Below are 22,077 nucleotides of genomic sequence, written 5' to 3'. Positions count from 1 at the left end.
GTTATAAGGACGACATGGTCTTGAGGATAAATAAACCTCCTGACTTGTTCCCACAGGTTTAAAAACTTAACAATTAGGTCCCATACTAATGCTGGGGCTGAGACAGCTCCTGGCATCGCTGAAGCCAGGCTGAGGGCAGGGGCTCCGGAGGGAGGCAGGTGGCTGACACCTCTTCCACTCAGGCAGTCAAAGTGCCAATGGCCCCTTAAACCCAAGGCCGAGCAGGGAGGCCACCCCCAGCTGCGTGTTGCCTGGTCAGGAGTCACCGTCCTCCTTAATTCCATTTCATTTGACTTTACTTGGACAAATCAAATCAAAGCAAATGGCAGGAACCACAGTACAATAGAAGATTGGCACTTCTGAGGGATAAGATCCGAGACCTTCACAATTCCCGAGCCCACAAGCACCACTATGGAACAGCTGAAAAATTTGGGTCATGCTTTTGTGTCCTCAATGTGGGCTATGACAGGTAAAGGCACCAGAGAGCTGGGGGATGACAGCGGCTGTCCGCCCCCCAGATAAGAGAGCTGTTCTCCCTTAACCATCTGCCTTGCCAAGTACTTTTCAGTCTCAGCAAAATGGCAAATTACTACATGACCTCGACTTTTCATTCTCCTGTGAAACCATAAATCCTATGGCCTCACATACAAAAGCCAGTCTACTTAGCAATCTTCAGAGACAACCTCTGAAGCAATCCTGGGATAAACAGGACTCCTCAAGATTTAAGATATTGAGTCAGGGGCTGGCGTGGTGGCTCACACCTGTAATCCCAGCACTTTGGGAGGCTGAGTCGGGTAGGTGGCTTGAGCCCAAGGGTTCATGATCAGCCTGGGCAACATGGCGAAACTCCCATCTTGACAAAAAATTATCAGGGTTTGGTGGCATGCCTGTGATCCCAGCTATCCAGGAGGCTGAGGTGGGAAGATCGCTTGAGCCTGGGAGGTCGAGGCTGCAGTGAGTCACAATCGTGCCACTGCACTCCAGCCTGGGCAACAGAGTGAGACCCTGTCTCCAAAAAAAGATGTGAGTCAGGGCTTGCTGGATGTCTGAAGCAATCAATCTCTCAGGCAGGAGATAGGAGAAAATTCTAGAAACTTGCATAACAACTAAGGCTTTAGAGCAAGTTTGTCCAACCTGTGGCCCACAAGCCACATGTGGCCCAGGATGGCTCTGAATGTGGCCCAACACAAACTCATAAACTTTCTTAAAACATTATGAGATTGGACGGGGGTGGTGGCTCACACCTTTAATCCCAGCACTTTGAGAGGCCCAGGCAGGCAGATCATGAGATCAGGAGATCGAGACCCTCCTGGCCAACATGGTGAAACCCTATCTCTACTAAAAATACAAAAATTAGCCGAGTGTGGTGGTGCGTGGCTGTAATCCTAGCTACTCAGAAGGCTGAGGCATGAGAATCACTTGAACCAAGGAGACGGAGGTTGTAGTGAGCCGAGACACTGCACTCCAGCCTGGTGACAGAGCGAGACAGCGTCTCAAAAAAAAAAAAAATTATGATTTTTTTTTTAAGCTCATCAGCTATTATTAGTATTAGTGTATTTTATGTGTGGCCCAGGGAAGCCAAAAGATTGGACACTCCTGCTTTAGAGTTTTTCAACATGCCGATCATAGTCATATATTCAATGTTTCATTCATTTACATTAAAATCTCCTATTTGGTTTAAATACTTACATCATTTTCTAAAAAGTTAAACATGCTTCTTTCAGCCAACTCCTTTGACTCTTCAAATTTTTCTACCGCTTGTCTGACTTCTTCGTCTGGTATCTTACCTACTCGTTTCTTTTTATAATCGTAATCCAGGCGGCGGCCTTCCAGCTTTTTCAGGTGATGCTAAAAAAAGAGAATGGAGTCCCTCAGAGAGGTGCTACATTCAAAACCTGGCACAAAAAATTATTTCTATTAAAATGGTCATTGCTTTTTCTCGGCCTAGATTCCAGAGGGCAGGAACCCACCTTACACTGCTGTTGGGAGCACCTCAGCACCTGATGGAGGCTCCCCTCACTTCAGGTGCTCCAGGAATATTTGTGGAATGAATGAATGAATGGACAGATCGGTGATAGAATGAATGAGTGTCTTTATGGAATGTAATGATGCAGTAGCCATGCTCAGATATTATTTTCCAACGTTCTTTATACGATCCCTCACTTCAGCCTTCTTAATGTCCAGATAATTTCTAACCAGGTTAACCAAACAAAACACAGTAGGAACATTTCTTTTGGTACTATTGTCAACTCCTGACTAAGTAGTAGACTATAAAATCACAAACTTCTACAATCCCTTAGAATATTAACGGATCTCCGTAAAGTTCCCAAACAATCAAGAAATAAGTTGCGTAAAACGCTGTTAATGAATGCAAAGGAGAGAGATTCACAGACAACCTCTGAAACAGTAAAATTTCTAAACAATATTATAACCGCTTTAACAAAATATAACAGTTAGAACTGTCCACTCATGGAACAGGCTGCCTTGCGTAGCAGTAGGTTTCCCATCACAGTTTGTGTCCAAGCAGAGAGACCCCGTGTCAGAAACAGTGCTGAGTGGGATAGCTATACAGGACAAGGGAGGGGTCCCTGGAGAGTTTATGGCTATAATCCTCGGAAATCAGATACCAGGCATCGAAAGTGTATGTAGAAACTGATCATCCCACTGAAGCATGGGGATAGCTCGCACTATTCATTTTAGCAGGAAGCACTGCTTCTAACTTCCATGACTCAGTGAAAAGAGCACACAAGACCCAGAGAGTCAGAAACATCTCTCTCTTTGCTCTGTGACTTTGGGCTGGTCCCTAATCCCTCTGTACCTCTACATGAACACCTGAAAGTCAGCCGTATGTCAAATGAACAGGCCCCTGACCCCTGATTTCTGAGCGACACAGAGCATAGCTGAGACTATGAAAGGCTTCCTAAACCTTGGACTCTTAACTTTCCATCATCCACATAATTTAAGTTTAGATTTACAGTTCTGTATCAAACAGCAGCTGAGTAACAAGATGGCATTTAGAAAACTATTTTGTTGCATAGAGAACTGCAACATTTCAGAATAAGTGTGTTTTACACATTTCACCCACTTACTACTCAGGACCACATATGTGTCTGTGGTTGGCCAGGTGGAGGAGCAATGCTGACTTTTCATATGACCTTCCTCCATGATGACAGCACAAGAAGAAATAAAACTTGCTATATGTCAGCAAAGGAGGCATTTGGTTTTACAACTGTGCATTTGGGGGAGATGTTTTGGCATCCCCAGAACCCAGACTGTCACTTCTCTAGAATCAACCATTCAAAAATAATTTGCAAAAACATCTCCTGTACCCCACCAACATATACACCTACTACGTACCCACAAAAATTAAAATTAAAAAAATAAAATAATGTGTGAGCACAAACCACGTGGGAGGCTTGTGACTACAAGGAACAAACCACGATCACTCACCCCGAGGAATGGACTGCCCAACATGAGCAAAAGGTAAGCAACGGTGCTCATGACACAGAGGCACAGAAGGGATACCCCACGAAGTCTAGCGAAAGAACAAACAGCTTCCCAAAGGAAAGCACATCCGAGCTGAGGGGTGAGGTGACAGCCAGGAGAAGGGGTGAAAGGACAAAGACAGCAAATAGCGAGAAAGCACAAAGCAAAACGTCACCAGGGAGCTGGAAATAATTCAGTGAGGCTGGGCAGAGTTCATGTGGGGAAGGGGTGGCAATAAGGCCACAGAGGAAAGGAGGGGCCAGGCTGTGAAGGGCTGAGGGTCTATATCTTCACCCCACTGTCAGTGGGCAGCCAGGAAGGTTTGCAGCTCAGAAAGGGTGCCCTGGCTGTGGGCTGGAGAATGGACAGGAGGGAGTGAGATGTGACACCAGGGGTCAAGGGCAGCTGTGCTGTGTGTAAATGTTAACAGGAAGAAGCCAACAGACAGAAAGGGAAAGAATGAAGATACACCAGAGAGGACGATGGATGTCACAACGGCCCTGAGGAGGTGAGAGGTGACAGACCCTGCGGCCCAGAGGAGGACTGGCTTGAGAGCAACAGGGACATGTTTCCCCTGAGATGGAAGAAGAGGATGGTATGAGTGTCGGGGCCAAGGGGTGTGCAGGTGGGGAATGGGATGTTTAGGGAGCTCCTGAATGGATGCTTTCATTTCTCACTCAAACTTCCTGAATTCTCCCTCATACCCTTTGCTTTCAGCAGAAATTCTAAATACATTGCCTGGACAGGCATCCAGGGCTTTCCGTGACTCTCAGCCTTTCCTCCCTTCATTGCACCCCCACCCCTACACACCCTATCCCCTGGCCATATCACACAACCGAGGTCCCCGAGCCTGCCTGCTCTCACAGCCCTGGCCCTCTGGTCAGCTTGTGCTGGATATTTTGCCCACCCCAGTCTCCCAGTCTGCATTAGCCAGCTTCTCCTCCTCTGAGAAGCCTTCCCTGACCCATCCAGGCTGAAAGAGGTGCTTCTCCTTCATGTCCCTGGGCTCATCTCTCCAACAACTGTCAAAGTGCATGGTATCTGTTTACTTGTCTCTCTACCCTACACCTGTGAGCTTCACAAGGGCATGCACCAGGTCTTGTTTAGCCACATATGGCCAGTGCCCACCACCACTGTAGCAGGGCAGAGCAGGCTATACACAGTTGATGGATGAATAAATAAATGAACAAAGGAAGAACCAATAATCTGACATCCATCAGTTCCTTCTCTGGCCCCTGGAATATGGAGCCACCTCAAGGCCCACGGTCCAAGCAGGGAAGGCCACCCAAGCTCACACATCCCACCAGCCTCATCTCTGTCACATAGGCTAGACCAGTGGGGGTTCACACTTCCCCCTCGAGTTCTGGAAAGGATGGGCTGGAACAGTGGTTTCTGAACATTAGCGTGCATCAGAATCACCTGGAGGACTTTATAAAACACAGACTTGCTGGGCTTCACCCATAAGATTTCTGATTCAGGAGATAAGGGATGGGGCCCAAGAATTTGCATTTCTCACAAGTGATGCTGATGTTGCTGGTCCAGGGACCACACTTTGAGAATCAATAGGTCTGAAGAAGGGAAAACAGGATATGCCCAAGGCTCAAATGACCTCCAAGCTGAGATCATGCTGAAGGCACCTGGAGGAACATCTTCTGTACATATCCATAAGACGGTGCTTGTACCTCCAGAGTGGAAGTCACTGGTGGGGTAGAAGTCTTGGGGCTGTTTTTGCACATCTACAAAAATGCCACCATGCAAGTGGCATGCAATTATCTCCAGGTACCTGAAAATTCCCATGCACGCCATTTTTAACAGTTTTCCAAATGAAAAATTCAATTTCTAGGTATTGATCTTCTTGAGAAGTAATGGAAAATAATGACCACCAGGGCAACGCATCAAAACATGCAACTATGGTACGATTTTGATAATAAGAAATCCACTATAAAGTTATGTAATTACTTTGTTTAGCCTGGCTTAGAGCTGGCTTCAACTAAATACAGAATTTCCAGCTGAAAGAACATGGCTTACATTCCCTCCCATTATCCTGCTTCATCTCCAGGGCAGATAGGACTAATGGATCCTGGCACTCTTTCCCAGTGAGCCCAGGAAAATAGAACTGAGTCATTTTTACCCTACCCACAAGCATCATAAGATGATGCTTTCAGTCTGCTGAAACGTTCTAGTGATTTTAAATATAAACATCATCTTATGTAGCAACAGGTATATTTATACCCTGGAAGACTTACCCCGATCTCTTTTAAATCTTTATCTTGTAGTAACTGAAGTGGATCAATAAAAGTTTGCTTTACATTAATATCAAGAGAGTCTTTCACCTCAGCCATTAGCTTCATGGATTCACCAACTTCTATCAATGCATTGCCTTGAATAGAAAACATAAATACAAAAGGTTCTTTGGGAACACTACTCCAGGTTAACAGTGCTATTTATTTCATTCTTTACCAAAAGTGTGTGGATGATGGTGTAGCAAGGTCCTTGCTCCGGGACCTCTGAATCCTGGATCAGAATGAAAAAGAAAAAGCAAGGCTTCCTATTTTCTGTATTTTCCTCTCTATGGTCTGCACTTTCACCACTACAGAAAATACAACTGAGGCTAGCAGACCGAAGTACTTACCATTTGGACCACTAGATGGGGATAAAGATCCTTTCTAAAAAACTGGTAATTTGGGAAACTGGCACGGAGGGTTCCTTAGAAGCTTGAGAATAAAATCTCTTTGTAAACAATGAAAGGATTCACTCATGGGGCTAAGTGTTAACCAGTAAAAATTACAATAGAAATAAACCAACAAAACATCTCAGCTTCTAGCCGTGGGATCTTCTCAAGGCTACTCCCCGTATCCTTCTAGAAGGTTCTAAGCCTCCCTGCCCTCTCTGATGTCAAAGAAAGCCTGCCAGTGTCACATGGGACATCCTGTCAGCAGGGTGGGGTGGGGGTCTGCTGGTGCGTTGGAGCCCAGGCCAGCCTTCCTGGCTCGGGTAGTGGCAGGTAGTTTTTCCTGGATTACAGTGTGCTATCTCAGTCCGGTTAATCGGCAGTAATTTGCCAGATTACTGCAAACCAGGTGCCCTCTAGTTCTCTGTACAATGAGGGTTGCAGGGTCTCTAGAAAACATCCCTGGGAAATGCTGCACTAGAATGAACTATTTTTCCTATATTTGGGTTTTTCCAAATTGATCTTGTAAAAAGATGGAGATTGGGTTGCTCCATTTCTAGGCTTGAAGAAGACCGTAAAGCCCAGCCTAAGTCTGACCTTTGAGTTGTTTCACCCACCAGGTGAGGGCATGGACAACTTAATTACCTGTAAAATAGAGATGGCAACATGTGCCTCACCTCCCTTAAAAAAAAAACAGAAAGATACTAAAGAGGACCTTGCAAAACAGAAGTAGGAACCGTTACTCTAAACTAAGGCTTCCCAGGACTCCATACGGACCCAGTGGTAGCTTCATTCCTCCTTGGAAGCTACATTTCCTTAGCTCAACTCTCCAAAGTGTGTCTAAATAATTCCTAAATGAAGACGAAATGTCCCTTCCTAGCCTGTGGACTCTTTCCTGCCCAAATGGTGAGAAATGGTATTGCCTGACCCCCTACACAGCCCCTCTGCCACCAGTGCCAGTGTCTCACAATGTCAGCTCATTTCGCCTTGACAGAAACATTTTCAAATACACTGTAGACTCCAAAGATGATGCTCTGAACATGGGCCGCCACCTCCCTGGAATCAACATTCCCTCTCCTTGCCTGAGACTGGCGCTGTCGAATTCCACGGGTGTGGGGCTCAGCCTCCACCCACTGAGGTTTCTGTACTGTAGGAGGTCCCAGTATGTGGCCCCCCAAAAGAAAACATCCAACGGCACAGCCTCTTCCTTGGAAGAGCAGAAATCCATCTGTTCCTGATGCCCTGCTGACATCAGCTCTCTTCCTCATCCCAAGTTTTTTTCGGTTGCCGAGCACCTGGGAAGCTACCAAATTGTCTGGCTGTCGCCAAGGCCAGATGCACGGCAGGAGTGTCCTTGGATTTCAAGGCCTGCCTGGCAGTTTCACCTGCTCCCTTCACTGATGTGCCTTCAGAGTAAGAAATAGGCCATCTTGTCCCCATTGGCCCTTAGAATAAAATAAAATTCACATTATACTGCTCTGAGGGATAATATTACCCTTTGTCACTAATTAATTCGTGTTTTAATGCTTGAGTTTTAACATTTTTTTCAAAAGATATTTCCTCCAATTTCCTAGAATGATTACTGTGGCCAAATATTTGATTTCTCAACTTCCATCTCTTCCATCTCCTGCCTTGTTACCACTATATGAATAGCAAATATGCCAAATTCTTTGGGAATACTTAATATATTAAATCCAATTCATCCTCAATTTAATGTATTAATTTAAATGAATCTCAATCAAAATTTAATGACTTTTTTAAATAAAAGGGACTTAAGTTTCACCTGGAAAAATAAAACCAGTAAGTGTGTCTGTGAACTTTTTGCAATACAATACCTAAATTTTTAGTAAATAATATATTAAAGTATGTTTTAAAACTTCAATACTTAAAACAATATGACACTGAATCAAAACAGGATACAGATCAAGAAACGGAAGAGAAAGACCATAAACAAATTTAATGTATAATAATTTAGCCTATAATAAAAGAATCATTTCAAATCATCAGGAGAAAGTTGGACTTTTCAACAGTACTGAAACAAGCTATTTATTTGTTAGAAAACAAAATTAGAACCCTATTGCACTGTAGCTCCAATAAATGCAGGAGCTTGGAAATTTAAAGGCAATAAAAGAAAATACAGGATTCAAAAACAAGTATAAATAAACGTTTATATCATTTGCCAGGGAGTGGGATGAAAAAGATTTTCTAAACATGATTCCAAAAAGCTAGAAACCATATAGGAAGACTAAAGAGCTTCAGTAAATAAAAAATAAAAATCTCTCTCCATTGAAATGACCTTCATATACAAGGTCTGAAGGCAAATGCTTACCTGGGACAAAGCTTCATCAACATACAAGACAGCCAATGAGCAAATATCCTGACCATTTAAAGAGCTCATGAGACAGGGGGGAAAAAATGGACCTCCTGATGCAAAAGCAGGCTAAGGACACAAACACACAATTCACAAAAACAATGACAAACACAAATAAAAATTCCACCTCACACGTGATCCAAAAGATGGAGTTAAAACAGCAATGAGATATCATTTTTGTATACTACATATCAAATGATCAGTTATTTAAAAGTAAACTAAAAAGATAATCTCTAGGGTTAGGAACTATGTAGAGAAATATACCCTCACTCACTCCTGGCAACAGTGTCAAATGAGTGTAACCCTTCTGAAGGGTAGGTTGGGAATATGCTTTCAAAACCTGAAAAATAAGCATACTCTTGACTCAGCAATTTTATACTAGACATGTTATCTAAATTATGTCAAAGAATATAATTTTGGATATCCCCAAAGATTTACCTATGAAAATGGTTATTGTAAATGCTATGTAAAATGTTTTTACATAAAGAAACATTTATTTAGTAAATGGGATTGACTGAACAAACTATGATACATGGAATATTATGTAGCCATTAAAAACAATATCATGGAAGATTAATTATTTTACGATATGGATCATTATATAGTCAGTGTTACCAAAGAGTATATGTACTATAGCCTTACTGTAGTTTTTAAAAGTACATATGAATACATATAAGAATAAACAAGGCATAAAAGATACACAACAAGCCAAGTGCAGTGGCTCACTCCTGTAATCCCAGCAGTTTGGGAGGCCGAGGCAGGCGGATCACTTGAGGTCAGGAGTTCAAAACCAGCCTGGCCAAAATGGCGAAACCCTGTCTCTATTTAAAATACAAAACATTAGTCAGGCATGGTGGCTTGAGCCTGTAATCCAGCTACTCGGGAGGCTAAGGCACGAGAATCGTTTGAACCTGGGAGGTGGAGGCTGCAGTGAGCCAAGATCGCGCCACTGCACTCCAGCCTGGGCATAGACTTTGTCTAAAAAAAAAAAAAAAAAAAAGATACACAACAGAGTTTAATTGGGCCTATCGGTGGATATGGGATTATGGGTGATGTTAGCATTTTTCTTTATTTTACTTACCTATGTTTTCTAAACCTCCTGCAATTAACATGTATTACTTTGGTAATATGGAAAAATAACAAAGGTTGTTAGACTGAAGGGTTTGTGTATAACCTAAAACCATACTGGAGGAGTTCTCAGCTCCCCCAGCTGATCTCTGAATAACTCACCAAAGGTGGAGTCTTCCCCGAGCTCCTTCCCGTATTTCAGCATACAGTCCCCCAGCAAGCCTTCCGTCTGCGGGTATCCTGTGGTCTTCACCTGCCCTCGGATCTTCGACACAGTGTTCAGCATTCCTAGCTTAGCTCTGTATGCTTAAAAACATTGTCATTTGTAATTCTTTAAAGTTACAAGGTGGAGTGACAGGTACATAGAATTTAATAAACGCAGCTGCCAAAACTGAGGTCACCTTAAACAAAATGCCAGAGACCTGAGGCCTGAAACAATTGTGTGTGAACTATTTAATTTTCTCAGGTAATTTTCTAGGTTCTTTACCAAGGTGGGTGCTAAGTGCACTGTTCCGCAGCCACGATGAACCATAGAAATGATGGTGCACATCGGCTGGGCGCAGTGGCTCACACCTGTAATCCCAACACTTTGGGAGGCCGAGGCCGGCAGATCACCTGAGGCCAGGAGTTCAAGACCAGCCTGACCAACATGGAGAAACCCTGTCTCTACTAAAAATACAAAAAATTAGCTGGGCGTGGTGGCACATGCCTGTAATCCTAGCTACTCGGGAGGCTGAGGCAGGAGAATTGCTTGAACCCGGGAGGCGGAGGTTGCAGTGAGCCAAGATCGCGCCATTGCACTCTAGCCTGGGGGACAAGAGCGAGACTTTGTCTCAAAAAAAAAAAAAAGAAAGAAAGAAAGAAAGAAAAAAAAAAAGAAATGATGGGGCACATTGCTGACTTGAAATAATAGTGACCAGGCTTTCCTGAGCACCACCCCTCGAGTGAGACCCTTTGGAAAGCTTGCAGTTGCTGACACGTGAAGTCAGACACTGACACCTGTGTGACACTGACATGCTTTTTGTTTGTTTGTTTAAATGTAAACAAAAATAGAATTGCCGAGGAGGATATTTCAAACAACCAACTGGTCATTAACACACACCACATGCGCGCGCACGCACACACACACACACTCTGCTCCCAAGGACTGATTGAGCCTAATGATTTTCAGTATTATGGCAGGCAGGTGCTGCTGTTTAGGAGGCAGAATCATAGGAGGGGACAGACCACCCCACCCCTAGTGAACACTAGCCTTGTGTGGCTGGTCCCAAGGTGCAGCTCAGCCTCTGCTCCCTAGGGAGGTGATGCGCATCACTGCGTCTTACCTTCCTTTCCTTCCTCTGACTCAGGCAATGAGTATTTACTCATTGTTGCACTGGGCCCTGTGCAACAACACACTGTGCTCATTACTGGGACTCCAGAGACAGGCTTTGCCCTCAAGGAGCTCAAAGTCTAGTTACTGGGAGGCAGAATATACAGGACATAATTATGAAAATAAAGTCCAGTGTGGTGCAGGGCAAGGGAAAGGCGGCAATATGCTGAAGAAAGATGGAAAGATGCCCTAAAAAGTACAGAGAATGGTGTCAGTAACGTGTAGAAGAGGGAATACTGTGGCATAATCAGTGGACAAGGAGTAGGCTGGTTTGACCTAAAATGCTATTAATACAGGACAAAGTGGGAGATAGCTATGGGAAAATGTGACTATGAATTGAACACCAAGCTAAGGATTTGAGATTTCATCCTGTAGGTGAGAGAGTGAATCACATACTAGTTTGTGGTATTTGAGATACTTTTAGATAGTCAAGAGATACACTTTTTTTCCTACTTTAATAATTTTGTACTATTTTTAATGTATTTTAAATCAATGCCTCCAAAACTTTAATGTGTATGTAAATAACCCAAGGATCTTGTTAAAATGTAGAGTGATTCCATCGGTCTGGGTTGAGCCTAATTCTGCATCTCCAGCAATAGAATGCACTGTGAGTAGTGACATTCCCGTGCCAGCTGTGAGTGCCACTCACATTCACCTGACATTCACAGTGCCAGCCTTTTTTGTTGTTGTTTTGAAACAACAACTGTTGCCCAGGCTGTAGTGCAGTGGTATGATCATGGCTCACTGTGGCCACAAACTCATGGGTTCAAGCGATCCTCCCACCTCAGCCTCCTGAGTAAAAATAGGACTACAGACGTGTTACCACACCTGGCTAATTTTGAAAATGTTTTGTAGACATAGAGTCTTGCTACATTGCCCAGGCTGGTCTTGAACTCTTGGCTTCAAGCAATCATCATGCCTTGGCCTCCCAAAGTGCTGGGATTACAGGCATAAGCCATTGTGCCTGGCCAGTGCCGGACTTTTGAACCTCACATTTATCCTCAAAGCATTTATCCTCCAGGTCCCCAAGCCCAAAGGCTTCACTCTCACACACTACACACACACACACACACACACACACACACACACACACACACTCTCTCTCTCTCTCTCTCTGCCCATCTTTCCCACTGTTGGAGGGGGATGTGGGATGCAGCAGGTATGTGGGTGAGAGCCATTAAACTGGATAAGAGGTTGCTAGGGCTGCCTCTTCTCTAGGAATAACCAGAGACCTCTAGCCAGTGGTGACACTTTTATTGTTGGCCAACACTTCCTTATCCCATTCAAGAGTCAGCTGGTTGAGGGTGAAGTATCTGTCTGATTTCATAGTGTACTCCAGCACCCCGAAATCCTCTAGTGCAGAGAAAGCACATATTAAATATTTGTTGACTGATATATCAGGAAAAGAAATTTGTGTGGCTGATTTCAATCACTGATGTGGCCAGGGAGGAGAAGATATATTTTTATGGTTTTCAAAGCTATTATCATCAATACAATTGTAAAGAACTTTAGACCTGCCTGGATACACCTGATAAAATTTATATTCTTAAATTTTTACTTTCTCAATTTTCAAATGGTTAGGTTTGTGCTGATTCCTACAGTCAAGGGAATCACAGGAACTCTACGCAGATAATAAATTCCTAAAAAGGAAAGGTGGCTTTAGAAATCCACAGAACTCAAAGCTTGGGCGCCCTCTATTGGTTCCTATAATTTACAACCTGGGAAAATCTCATCAATAGATGCTGCTTGGGGACCTAGAAACCCAGACCTTCAGTGGAGAAGCTGATGTGACACTGGATTTAAGCAGCCTTTCGTATTCACCACATCTTGTTTCTCCAGCATTTAAGCCACAAAGAGAAAGCTTTTTCAAATTAACATATACCTTTATGTATATAGTACACAAGGGCAGAATTTTTAAAAAAATTATAAAGAGGAAATAAGGAAGAAAATATTTGCCAAATGTTTAGTGGCTTTCTGAAGCAACTCATAAAACCTTTGCTCAGTGCTCTCTTGTTGCTATGACCAGCACTCCATTCGGATGATGTCAACTGAAATTCACAAAAATAGCTGTTCTCTTTCTCATCAGTAGGACCGAATGCAACTACCTTTGGTCACTGGAGACTCAGCTTTAAAAACTGAATTTCATTATTGGGACACAGACGACATTGTTTCTACATTATGTCAACTAAACACCAAGTAAACATGGGTTATTAGAGTCTGTGACAGCAAATGAACAAGAGAATATTTCAACTTTACCTGGATTTGGCTGAAGATATTCAGTGGTTTTTGAAAGAATTTCTGCAACAACTTTATTGGTAACATCTATTTTCTTAAAAGCAAAATTTAAAAAAAGTTAGTAAATGACAAACTCAATAAAATCACAAAAGAGCAAATAGAGGAGGAATTTTCATTAATTTAATTCTTCTAACACGATTATGATGATTTTAATCCAAATGAACGTTTTCAACATTTTTGGGAGAGGTGATATTTTCTCACTTTCTGATTTTTGGAACATCATTTCCTTCAAGTGATGTTGGAGAACTTTACTTTCCCTTTAAACATTAAAATGAATATTAAGGTAATATTTAGAAAATCTGGAAAAGTTATTATGCTCCACTAGATTATTAGATATACTTGGAAGTCTCTCAAAACTAACACTAGATATGAACCAAACTCTCCTTATCTGCTAGGTGAACTTGAATTTCTATACTTATATAAGGATGCCACAGTAATGATTCATATTAGCAACTGCCTCAGTAATCAACACTAAAAGAATCATAATCATTAGTATTATATTATAATACAATAAACACATTCATTTGTGCTATGGTCAGAAGATGTTAACATCAAAGTTTTCCCCAAACGTTCCCTGAAAGTTAACCCTTTCTGGTTAAGACTGAATCTTTCCTTCTGCAAAACCATTCCTGGACTTTCTGGTTGTTAGTTAACCAGAGAGTTAATATGGGAATAAACAATAAAGTTAAAATGCAAGTTGCAATAGCTTTATTTATACCATCAGTAGCCCAAAAGAAAAAGATCTCATTCATAAAAGCAATAAAAATGCAATAATGAAGAATAACTATTATGAGAAATTCACAACACCTATTTGAAAAACCACATTCTTAGATGGGAAAACTCAATTTTGTAAAGATATGCATTCTTCCCAAATTAACATGCAAAATTCATTCAAATCCCATCATAATTTCAATTTTTTCTTTTTTTTGTTAAAATTTGGCAAGCTGATAGTAAAGTGAGTCTTCATACTATATACATGATTAAAAATATCAACCTAAAAAAATCAGACTATAAAACGACTAACATACAGACAACAGTATTTTGAAATACTGGAGTGGGAAGAAACTTCTAACCAGGACCTGAAATTCAAATGTCATAAATAAAAAGACCAAAATTCTGACTCCGTAAAAACTTAAAAACTGAACATGAAAAGACATAGAGTATGTGAAGTTTGACAAAAGTGGCATAATATTCTAAACTCCCATTTAAACAAACAAGAAAGAAGGAAAAGGCTGGGCACGGTGGGACACACCTGTAATCCCAGCACTCTGGGAGGCTGAGGCAGGTGGATCACCTGAGGTCAGCAGTTCAAGACCAGGCTGGCCAATATGGTGAAATCCTATCTCTACAAAAATGCAAAAATTAGCCGGGCATGATGACGGGTGCCTATAATCCCAGCTATTTTGGAGGCTGAGGTGGGAGAATCGCTTGAACCTGGAAGGTGGAGGTTGCAGTGAGCCGAGATCACGCCACTACACTCCAGCCTGGGCAACAGAGCGAGACTCCATGTCTTAAAAAGAAAGAAGGAAAAGAGGAAAAACACAAGCTGCCTACAAAGATTTGAAAAAAATATTCAGAACTGTAAATAAAAAGGAGATGCTTTACATTCTCCAGATTGATAAAAACATTTTTAAAATCAGTTATACTCAATATCAGGTATTATATGGGTGTGGAGTAACACACAACAGGAATGCAAAATGATACGTTTTTGGAGATCAAGGGAGAAGTGCTTATTAATGGGCATATTAATAAACCAGCTATTATACTTCTAAGGATTTGTCCTTTTAGAAACACACGAGCAAATTGCAGTGAAGGAAAAACATGTTTGTTAGGCCATTTTATGTAATATTGAAAATGGAAATCAACAGGAGACTGATGGATAAATTATGAAACATCCAAGTAAAGGAATACTCTTTAATCATAAGGAAAAAAAATAAGGAAGATCGACATTCAAAGTACATACATAGAAAGCAAGCAAGCTGCAGAATGATTTATAATAGAAGACAAATCATTTTTGTAATTTAGAAAACTATGATCCTGCCAGGGTCACAAGTTTGCAACCAAGCAATCTTATCCAGCCTGAAATCGTATTTGTTCCCCTTAGGTAAATACATTAATTTGGGCTAAATAAATTAATCTGGAGCCCCAGGAAAGTTTTAAAAGACAGTACAGAAATGATAAAAAAGGAGTCAAACCTATATTACTGATACTTGTGTGCTGTGTGTGCAAGTGGGCATGTGAGTGTGCGTTTGGCCTAGTAACAAGTTTTGTGACTTTGAGCTCTCTTTGGTATGTTCAGCTATTTGCCAAGATTGTTGAAATGTTTAAGAGAATCTGATTAACTAAATATGTCTTATTAGTCACAAGAAATGTAAGGGCTTAGGAAAATGCTGTTAATAGATTTTATGTAAAGTTTGAGGGAGTCCTGTACCTTGCCTTTGTGATTATAGCTTGAAATGTCTAAGGGAATTTGCTTAATTATATAACTGGTGGTAAATATTTAAGGATTGAATCTGTTAAGCTTATGTGTTAATTAATGCAACCTCAAATGAAAATTAACTATAATGATTTTCATCATATAGCAAAATTACTAAATTTGGAAACAAGATTCATAAGTTCAGTTTAAAGCTTAAGAAAAATGAGGATTTTAGATTTATAATGTAACAAATTAGATATTAATTAAAATATAACTTAGAGTGCTCCCTTTGATATATACAACCCTTTTTGGACATGAAAAGCCACCACAAAGCTAAGAGTCATCTCTGAAAGATGATGATGAGAGGAATTAGAATGGGGATATTTTCTACTTCAGATCTTTTTTATATCTTTTGAAACAAAAAAGCCCAAGAAACAAATGACCAAAAACTTGCAGGTACCTTGTAGGCCCTGACATGCACATACTGGAGCTGCCTCCACACCAGCCCAAGCATCAAAACTAGAAATAAACCCTTTACAAATTGAAGAGTAAACATATTGGCTAATGTGGAGTCAAGATGAGCATTCAAAACAAAACAAAAAAACAACAACAAAAACTCATGTAGCTTAAAAACAAAATCTCCCTCCTAGAATAACTAGGGACACTATAGTGTGTGTGTGTGTGTGTGTGTGTGTGTGTGTGTGTGTGTGTGTGTGTGTGTTGTGTGTGTGTGTCTGTTCAAGTCAACCAAATGCTATGCAAATATCCTGCCAAACCATTAAGAAAAATAGAGGGAAGCAGAATGGTAAAAATTATTTTTTGTGAAGTCAACCTGGTATGACAGCATCTTGGTTAGTTAAGTCTGGAATTTCTGTTTAATGCTGGCACCCTGCCCATGAGGTGTCCCAAGGCCTGTGCCACTGACTCCCTTAGGCCCAGTCCCTGAGTGAGAGAGCTGCTAGCAGCTCTCATTTCTGACACTTATTTACAGCATTCTCTTTAAAAAATGCTATCAGTGGGCATATCCTCTTTCTTCTTCTTTATGTAATTTGTTTGTGTTTTTCCTTTTTCTCCCTCTTGGCCTCACTTGGTAGAGGTTTGTTGTCTTACAGCTTTTCTAAAGCTCTTGGCTTCATTGTTTCGATCTTTTGTGGTTATTGTTTTCTATTTTATTAATCTCTTTTTTTATCCATATTGATTTCTACCTTCTACCTAGAGTGATTTAATTTGCTGTTATTTTCCTAGCTTCTTGGATTGCATGATTTATTCATTTTCTCCCAACATTTATTTTCTTTAAATACATTTACAGTTTAGCCACATATCACAGGTTTTGACATACAGAATTGTCACTCATGCCTAAATAATGTCATTTTACTTTCCATTTCCTCTTTAAACTAAGAATTATTTTTACATATTTTTAAATTTCCAAACATCCAGAATTTAGAAGCTCTACTTTCCCTTATAATTCTTATGTTCTATGGAATCACTTTGGGAAATTTATCGAGTTTTTTTTTCTATAACCTAGTACATAATTGATAACCATATTTGTTCCAAAGGAATTTGAAAAATATGCACATTCTCCATTTGGGGAATGCAGATATCTATATTTATTTATAATCAAAGTTATTAATCATATTTTATGCAAATCCTCCATGAGCCTATTGATTATTGTCAGTTTAATCTATTATTTTATGAGAGAGGTATGTGAAGTCTACTTCTATTTTTATCAACTGTCTATGTATTTCTGACAGTTTCTACCTTAAAAATTCAGATGCTATGTTATGTAGTGCAGAATGGTTCATAACTATTATAATTTCCTGATAGACTACATTGACTGTATCTTTTTATAATTAAAAAGCTTTTTTAATTTAGTGCTTCTCTTGCATCAAATTTTATTTTGATTTTACTATTGTTCCTCTATTTTTATATGGTTAGCATTAATTATAGAATATTTTTTCCCATTACTTTCTCATTTCTGTATCATTTATTAGGTGGGTCTAATACCATCTAATGCATCTCTTCTGGAAAGTTTTAAAACTTCTGGTCATGTATTATATGTTTCCATGCTTTTCACTGCTGTAATAAAACAGATAATAGACTTTATATTTCTTCTGTAACTCACTGGGGTTTTTGGAGGTAAAAGGAGGTAAGCAAGAAGGATCTCAATCCATCAACCAAAACTAAAACTCTGGAAAAATGCTTTTAAATTTAACATTTCAACTGAATCATTTTGTTAGTAACAAAGCTATACATCACCTATTTGTATATTAAGAGTTTTTTTTAAGTAATTTAAGGTATGTCAATGGTGTGAACATGTTTCCATGGTTTTAAGGTTCAGAAATTAAGTTTTCTTTCAAAAGCAAAAACAAAATAAGCTTTTCTCCCTCAAGGCATTAACATTTCTAGACATTTAATAGTTCTCATCCAGAAAACAGAGAACTCCCTGGAAGATGAGCTGGCCAGAGCCAAGGTATCCTGGGGAGATACTCTCCCAGGCAGTGCGCAGCCTGGGGCTGGACTTCCTTCCCCAGCACCTGCTGACATCTCTGCTACCTACTGTATCTGCAGCCTTGATGTTACACCTGAGGGTGGATGCCTTGCTTCATTTCCTCCCTCTCTCCTCTGGGGTGGGGGGTCTAATTATTAAAACAAGGCTATGTTTAAAGGGCCCAGACAATGAGCAAAGAAACAGTATGTTGTTAATACTGGTGGTTCTAGTTCTGCCTCCACCTGAGCAACTCCACACAGCTGACTGGGAAACATGTTAAGGGACAGAGATGATACCATTTTTCTTTGGAGCATGTTACAATCATTTCTGTCTCAAGCCCGTCATATTTTTTGTAAGTTATTTCAAATACGTTAATGTTTGCATAATTCTCACAAAATCCATGTGAGACAAGCAGGGCACACTTGTCATCTCTGTATCAGTTCAAAAAGATGAATTCACTTATCCAAGTTCACACTCTGGTTCTACAGGCAGAACCAGGATAAAAGTTACTTGCTATGCAGCTCCTGCAACACATGGGAGCAGAGCCCAAGTCTTCCACACGGTAAATAAATCATTCTGCATTTCAAAAAATCTTGTCCCAGAAATACATTTTGATTCTCCAAAACATATACTACCAATTACTTTGGCCTTGCAGTAACTGCCAAGATTGCCCATCTTTTGCACATTCTGACTTCTGGCCACTAGAGGGTACCAGTTAGCCACATCGATCTCATTACTCGACCTGCCCAAACTGCATGTGGCTACAGGGGGAGGATCTGATTTGGGCTGGGACGTGGGAAAGTACTGCCTTGTAGATTGCATAATCCACACCTATATTTAAACATCCTAGATTTCCACTCGAATATCCTTTACAATAGCAGTATATCTCATATCACAATGAAAGTCAGTTTCTAATCAATTTACATATTAAAATGCTCTTACCCTTTCCATGTCAAGAAATTCATCGTCTAGTTTAGTTCCTTCAGCACCACTTATTTTTTCACTAAATAGCTGCAGAAATAAACATAAATAATTGCATTGTACAATGATTTCTTGTCACAGTTTTTTACCTAAATTATTAAAAACAGAAACAAAAAAACTTGGATTCAACTTGTTGGATTTTTTGAACTAACTCCTTTAAGAAAATTGTTGGAAGGGGTAACCATATCTAAAGGCACAGGAAGACATACATTTCTCATGCAGTCAACAGATATTTATTATGCACCTACTATGTGTAAAACACATGGTAAGTGCTGTAGGACATAGACAAGAGAGATACTTGTCATCAAGGAACACACAGTTCACCCAAAGAGTCAACACACAAACATTCAATTAAAAAACAAGAAAAGAACAATAAGAACCATTAAAAAATAATAGTACTAGAGACAAATTACTGTAAATGAACTAAGTGGTAGTCACTTCAGTGATGCACAGAATGGACTTTGAGAGCCCACGGCACTGGGAGTAGGTTCATGCGGGATGTGTTTCCTAGAAGATGTGGCATTTGAGCTGGCATTTTAAGGATAGAGAACATTTCATCGGGCGGCACTGAAGGAAAGGCCTTCTGGGATGAGGCATGGAAAAAAGAGCCAGGGGCAGGAATGGATAGGACAGGTTTTCTCAGCCTCGGCTTTATTGATATTTGTAGCAGATAATTATCTGTTGTGGGGGCTGTCCTGTGCACTGCAAGATGTTTAACAGCAACCCTGGTCTCTGCTTGCTAAAGGCCAGTACTACAAGCATGGACACACACACACATATACACACACACACACACACGGTTGTAACAACCAAAAATGTTGCCCAAGAGCTGAGGACAATTTGTGTATGGCCAATGTGCTAAGAAAAAAAAACAGCAATAAATTGTGTTTAACTGTGAAAACTAGTGCACAAGGAAGAATGGAGGAAAATAAAATCTGAAAGTTACGCAACGCCCAGAGCACAGGGATTCTCAAATGCCAAGCTAAAGAGTACGAGTGAGAGATCCCTAAAGAGTCTTCATCAAACACAGAGAAACCCTTTAGAAAAGCAAGTCTGGCACCAGTAGGGTTGGATTAAAGAACGAGGAAGACAAATTGGAAGAAGAAAATAAGTTCAATCATTTTCTTTAGCAAAACACATTAACATAATCTACGCCCTTAAAATAGTAATATGAATATGCAAATCCACAGTAAGGGAGGTGCCATCAATTAAAGGTGAAAAGATGGCAGGTTGTTTTAAATACAAGTGTAGTTACTACTACTATTACACATGCGGTATTACTATTTAATAGGAAAAATATAAGTGGAGATAGTATTTTACTTAAATTCGAAGTGTGAGAAGGAATTTCTTGAAGACAACAGATACAGAAGACTACAAAATGGCCAGGGTTCTCCATCCTCCCTGTCCTGCGTCTTTACAGTTCCTCCGAGCTAGAGTTGGAGTCTATCTTCCCACCTAGTGAATCTGGGCTGGGCTTGTGACTTGTTTTGACCCCACAGAAACAAGCCTAGCTAGGCAGGAAGAGATCTTGTGTGCTTCTACTCACTCTCTAGAAACACTGTTGCTACCCTGTGAACAAGCAAGCCCAGGCAAATTAACTGAATGGAGAGAAACAAGTGGCCCAGACACCCACCAAGGTACAACCAGTCCATCCCCAGAATCAGAGCCACCCAGCTGACCTGCAGGTGACTGCAGTAACGTGAGAGACCCCAGCTGAGATCAGCCCCATCTGCTGAGGCATGGGAACAGGAGTCCAATAAACGGTATTGCTTTAAACCACTGAATTTTGGAGTGGTTTGCCACATAATAGAAGTTATCTGGTACACTGAACAAGAATCCTTACTTTTCAGGCTGAGTACAGAAGTCAGAGAGAATTAACCTAATGTCTTGATACAAGGCATAACTTCCAATAGAAAAAATGAAAAATTTCATTTCCACACACCAAGCAGTGTTTTAACAGATGTGTCCATCAGTTAACTCTCCTAAACATTTTCATTGTTGTTGTTCAGTAGTGAAATCATCCAACATATTGGTTCTCAACTTTGGAGGTAATAGCCTGAGGATCTAAGGAAAGTTACACAATCTCTCCTGGGGTGGGGAGTGGCACCTCCACGTTTTGTTGCCATGGTAGAGTACAAAAGTGGCCACAGGCTTTGCAGCTCCTCTCATTAAGAAGTCTATTTTTCCACGCTTCGACTTGCTTTGGCCAATAGAAGAGTGTAAACCACACTGTATAGCTATAAATTCCAAATCAGTACTCACAAAGAGGCTCTACAGATACTTCTGCTCACTCTGTCAGGTCCGCTGTGACTGCTTCCACCTGACCAAGTCTGGGCTGCCTTGTTGGAGAATGAAAGACCACGTGGATCAGAGATCAGCCATCCCACCTGAGCAACCTCGGGCCATCAAGCCCTCAGCTCACCTGGCAGCTGACCGGCAACAGGTGAGTGAGCCCAGCAGCGATCAACCACACCAGCACATCCACCCACCCAGTGCTCCCAGCCCAAATTGCTGACCCACAGAATCATAAACTAAATGAACTTTTTTTTTTGTCTTAAGTCGCTGTGTTTTCGGATGGTGTGTTATATAGCAAAAGCTGACTGATACAGTGGCCTGCATTTCCTGTGACTATTGAAACCACAGAAGCCCACATGTAGATCCACGTTTTAAAATAACCATTTGAAAATCCCTTTGGCTTGGAGAGTTGGACCCGAAATCCCTTTAATCCGAACGAGTTCGCACTTGTTCAGGTTTTACTTGTTCTATTTTCAGAAACCAAAATGTCTAATAGAAGGAGTAGTGTTTCTACTTTCAAGAACAGAAACTAGTGACATGAATATATCTTGTTTGAAAAGACAACATATGGGATCATTTTCAACAGGAGTCACAGGTTAAGAGTCATGATCATTCGTTTCTGCTTTTCCTGAAT

General features: G+C 40.8%; 1 protein-coding gene across 24 annotated transcripts in view; it reads right to left on the bottom strand.

Annotated features, from left to right (window-relative positions):
* Positions 1-22,077, bottom strand: part of SH3GL3 (SH3 domain containing GRB2 like 3, endophilin A3) — a 186,480-nt gene that overhangs the window by 55,390 nt on the left and 109,013 nt on the right. For 17 of the 24 annotated variants that reach the window (XR_007064483.1, XR_007064484.1, NR_136712.2 and 14 more), the window contains 5 exons: positions 19,110-19,178; positions 13,225-13,297; positions 9,759-9,902; positions 5,733-5,866; positions 1,690-1,848 (listed from right to left, as the gene is read on the bottom strand). Coding sequence is in view for 13 of the 24 variants with exons in the window: in NM_001301109.2 (NP_001288038.1) it covers positions 1,690-1,848; positions 5,733-5,866; positions 9,759-9,902; positions 13,225-13,297; positions 19,110-19,178 (579 nt within the window). In the remaining 11 variants the exon portion in view is untranslated. The remainder of the gene's footprint in view (positions 1-1,689; positions 1,849-5,732; positions 5,867-9,758; positions 9,903-13,224; positions 13,298-19,109; positions 19,179-22,077) is intronic. The other 7 variants (NR_136711.2, NR_136714.2, NR_136713.2 and 4 more) reach the window with 1 other exon arrangement.

The sequence above is a fragment of the Homo sapiens genome, chromosome 15 (genome assembly GCF_000001405.40).
Source record: "Homo sapiens chromosome 15, GRCh38.p14 Primary Assembly".
Classification (NCBI taxonomy): domain Eukaryota; kingdom Metazoa; phylum Chordata; class Mammalia; order Primates; family Hominidae; genus Homo; species Homo sapiens.
The sequence above is the reverse complement of the archived record's forward strand: the minus strand, read 5'-3'. Positions and strand labels throughout refer to the sequence as shown.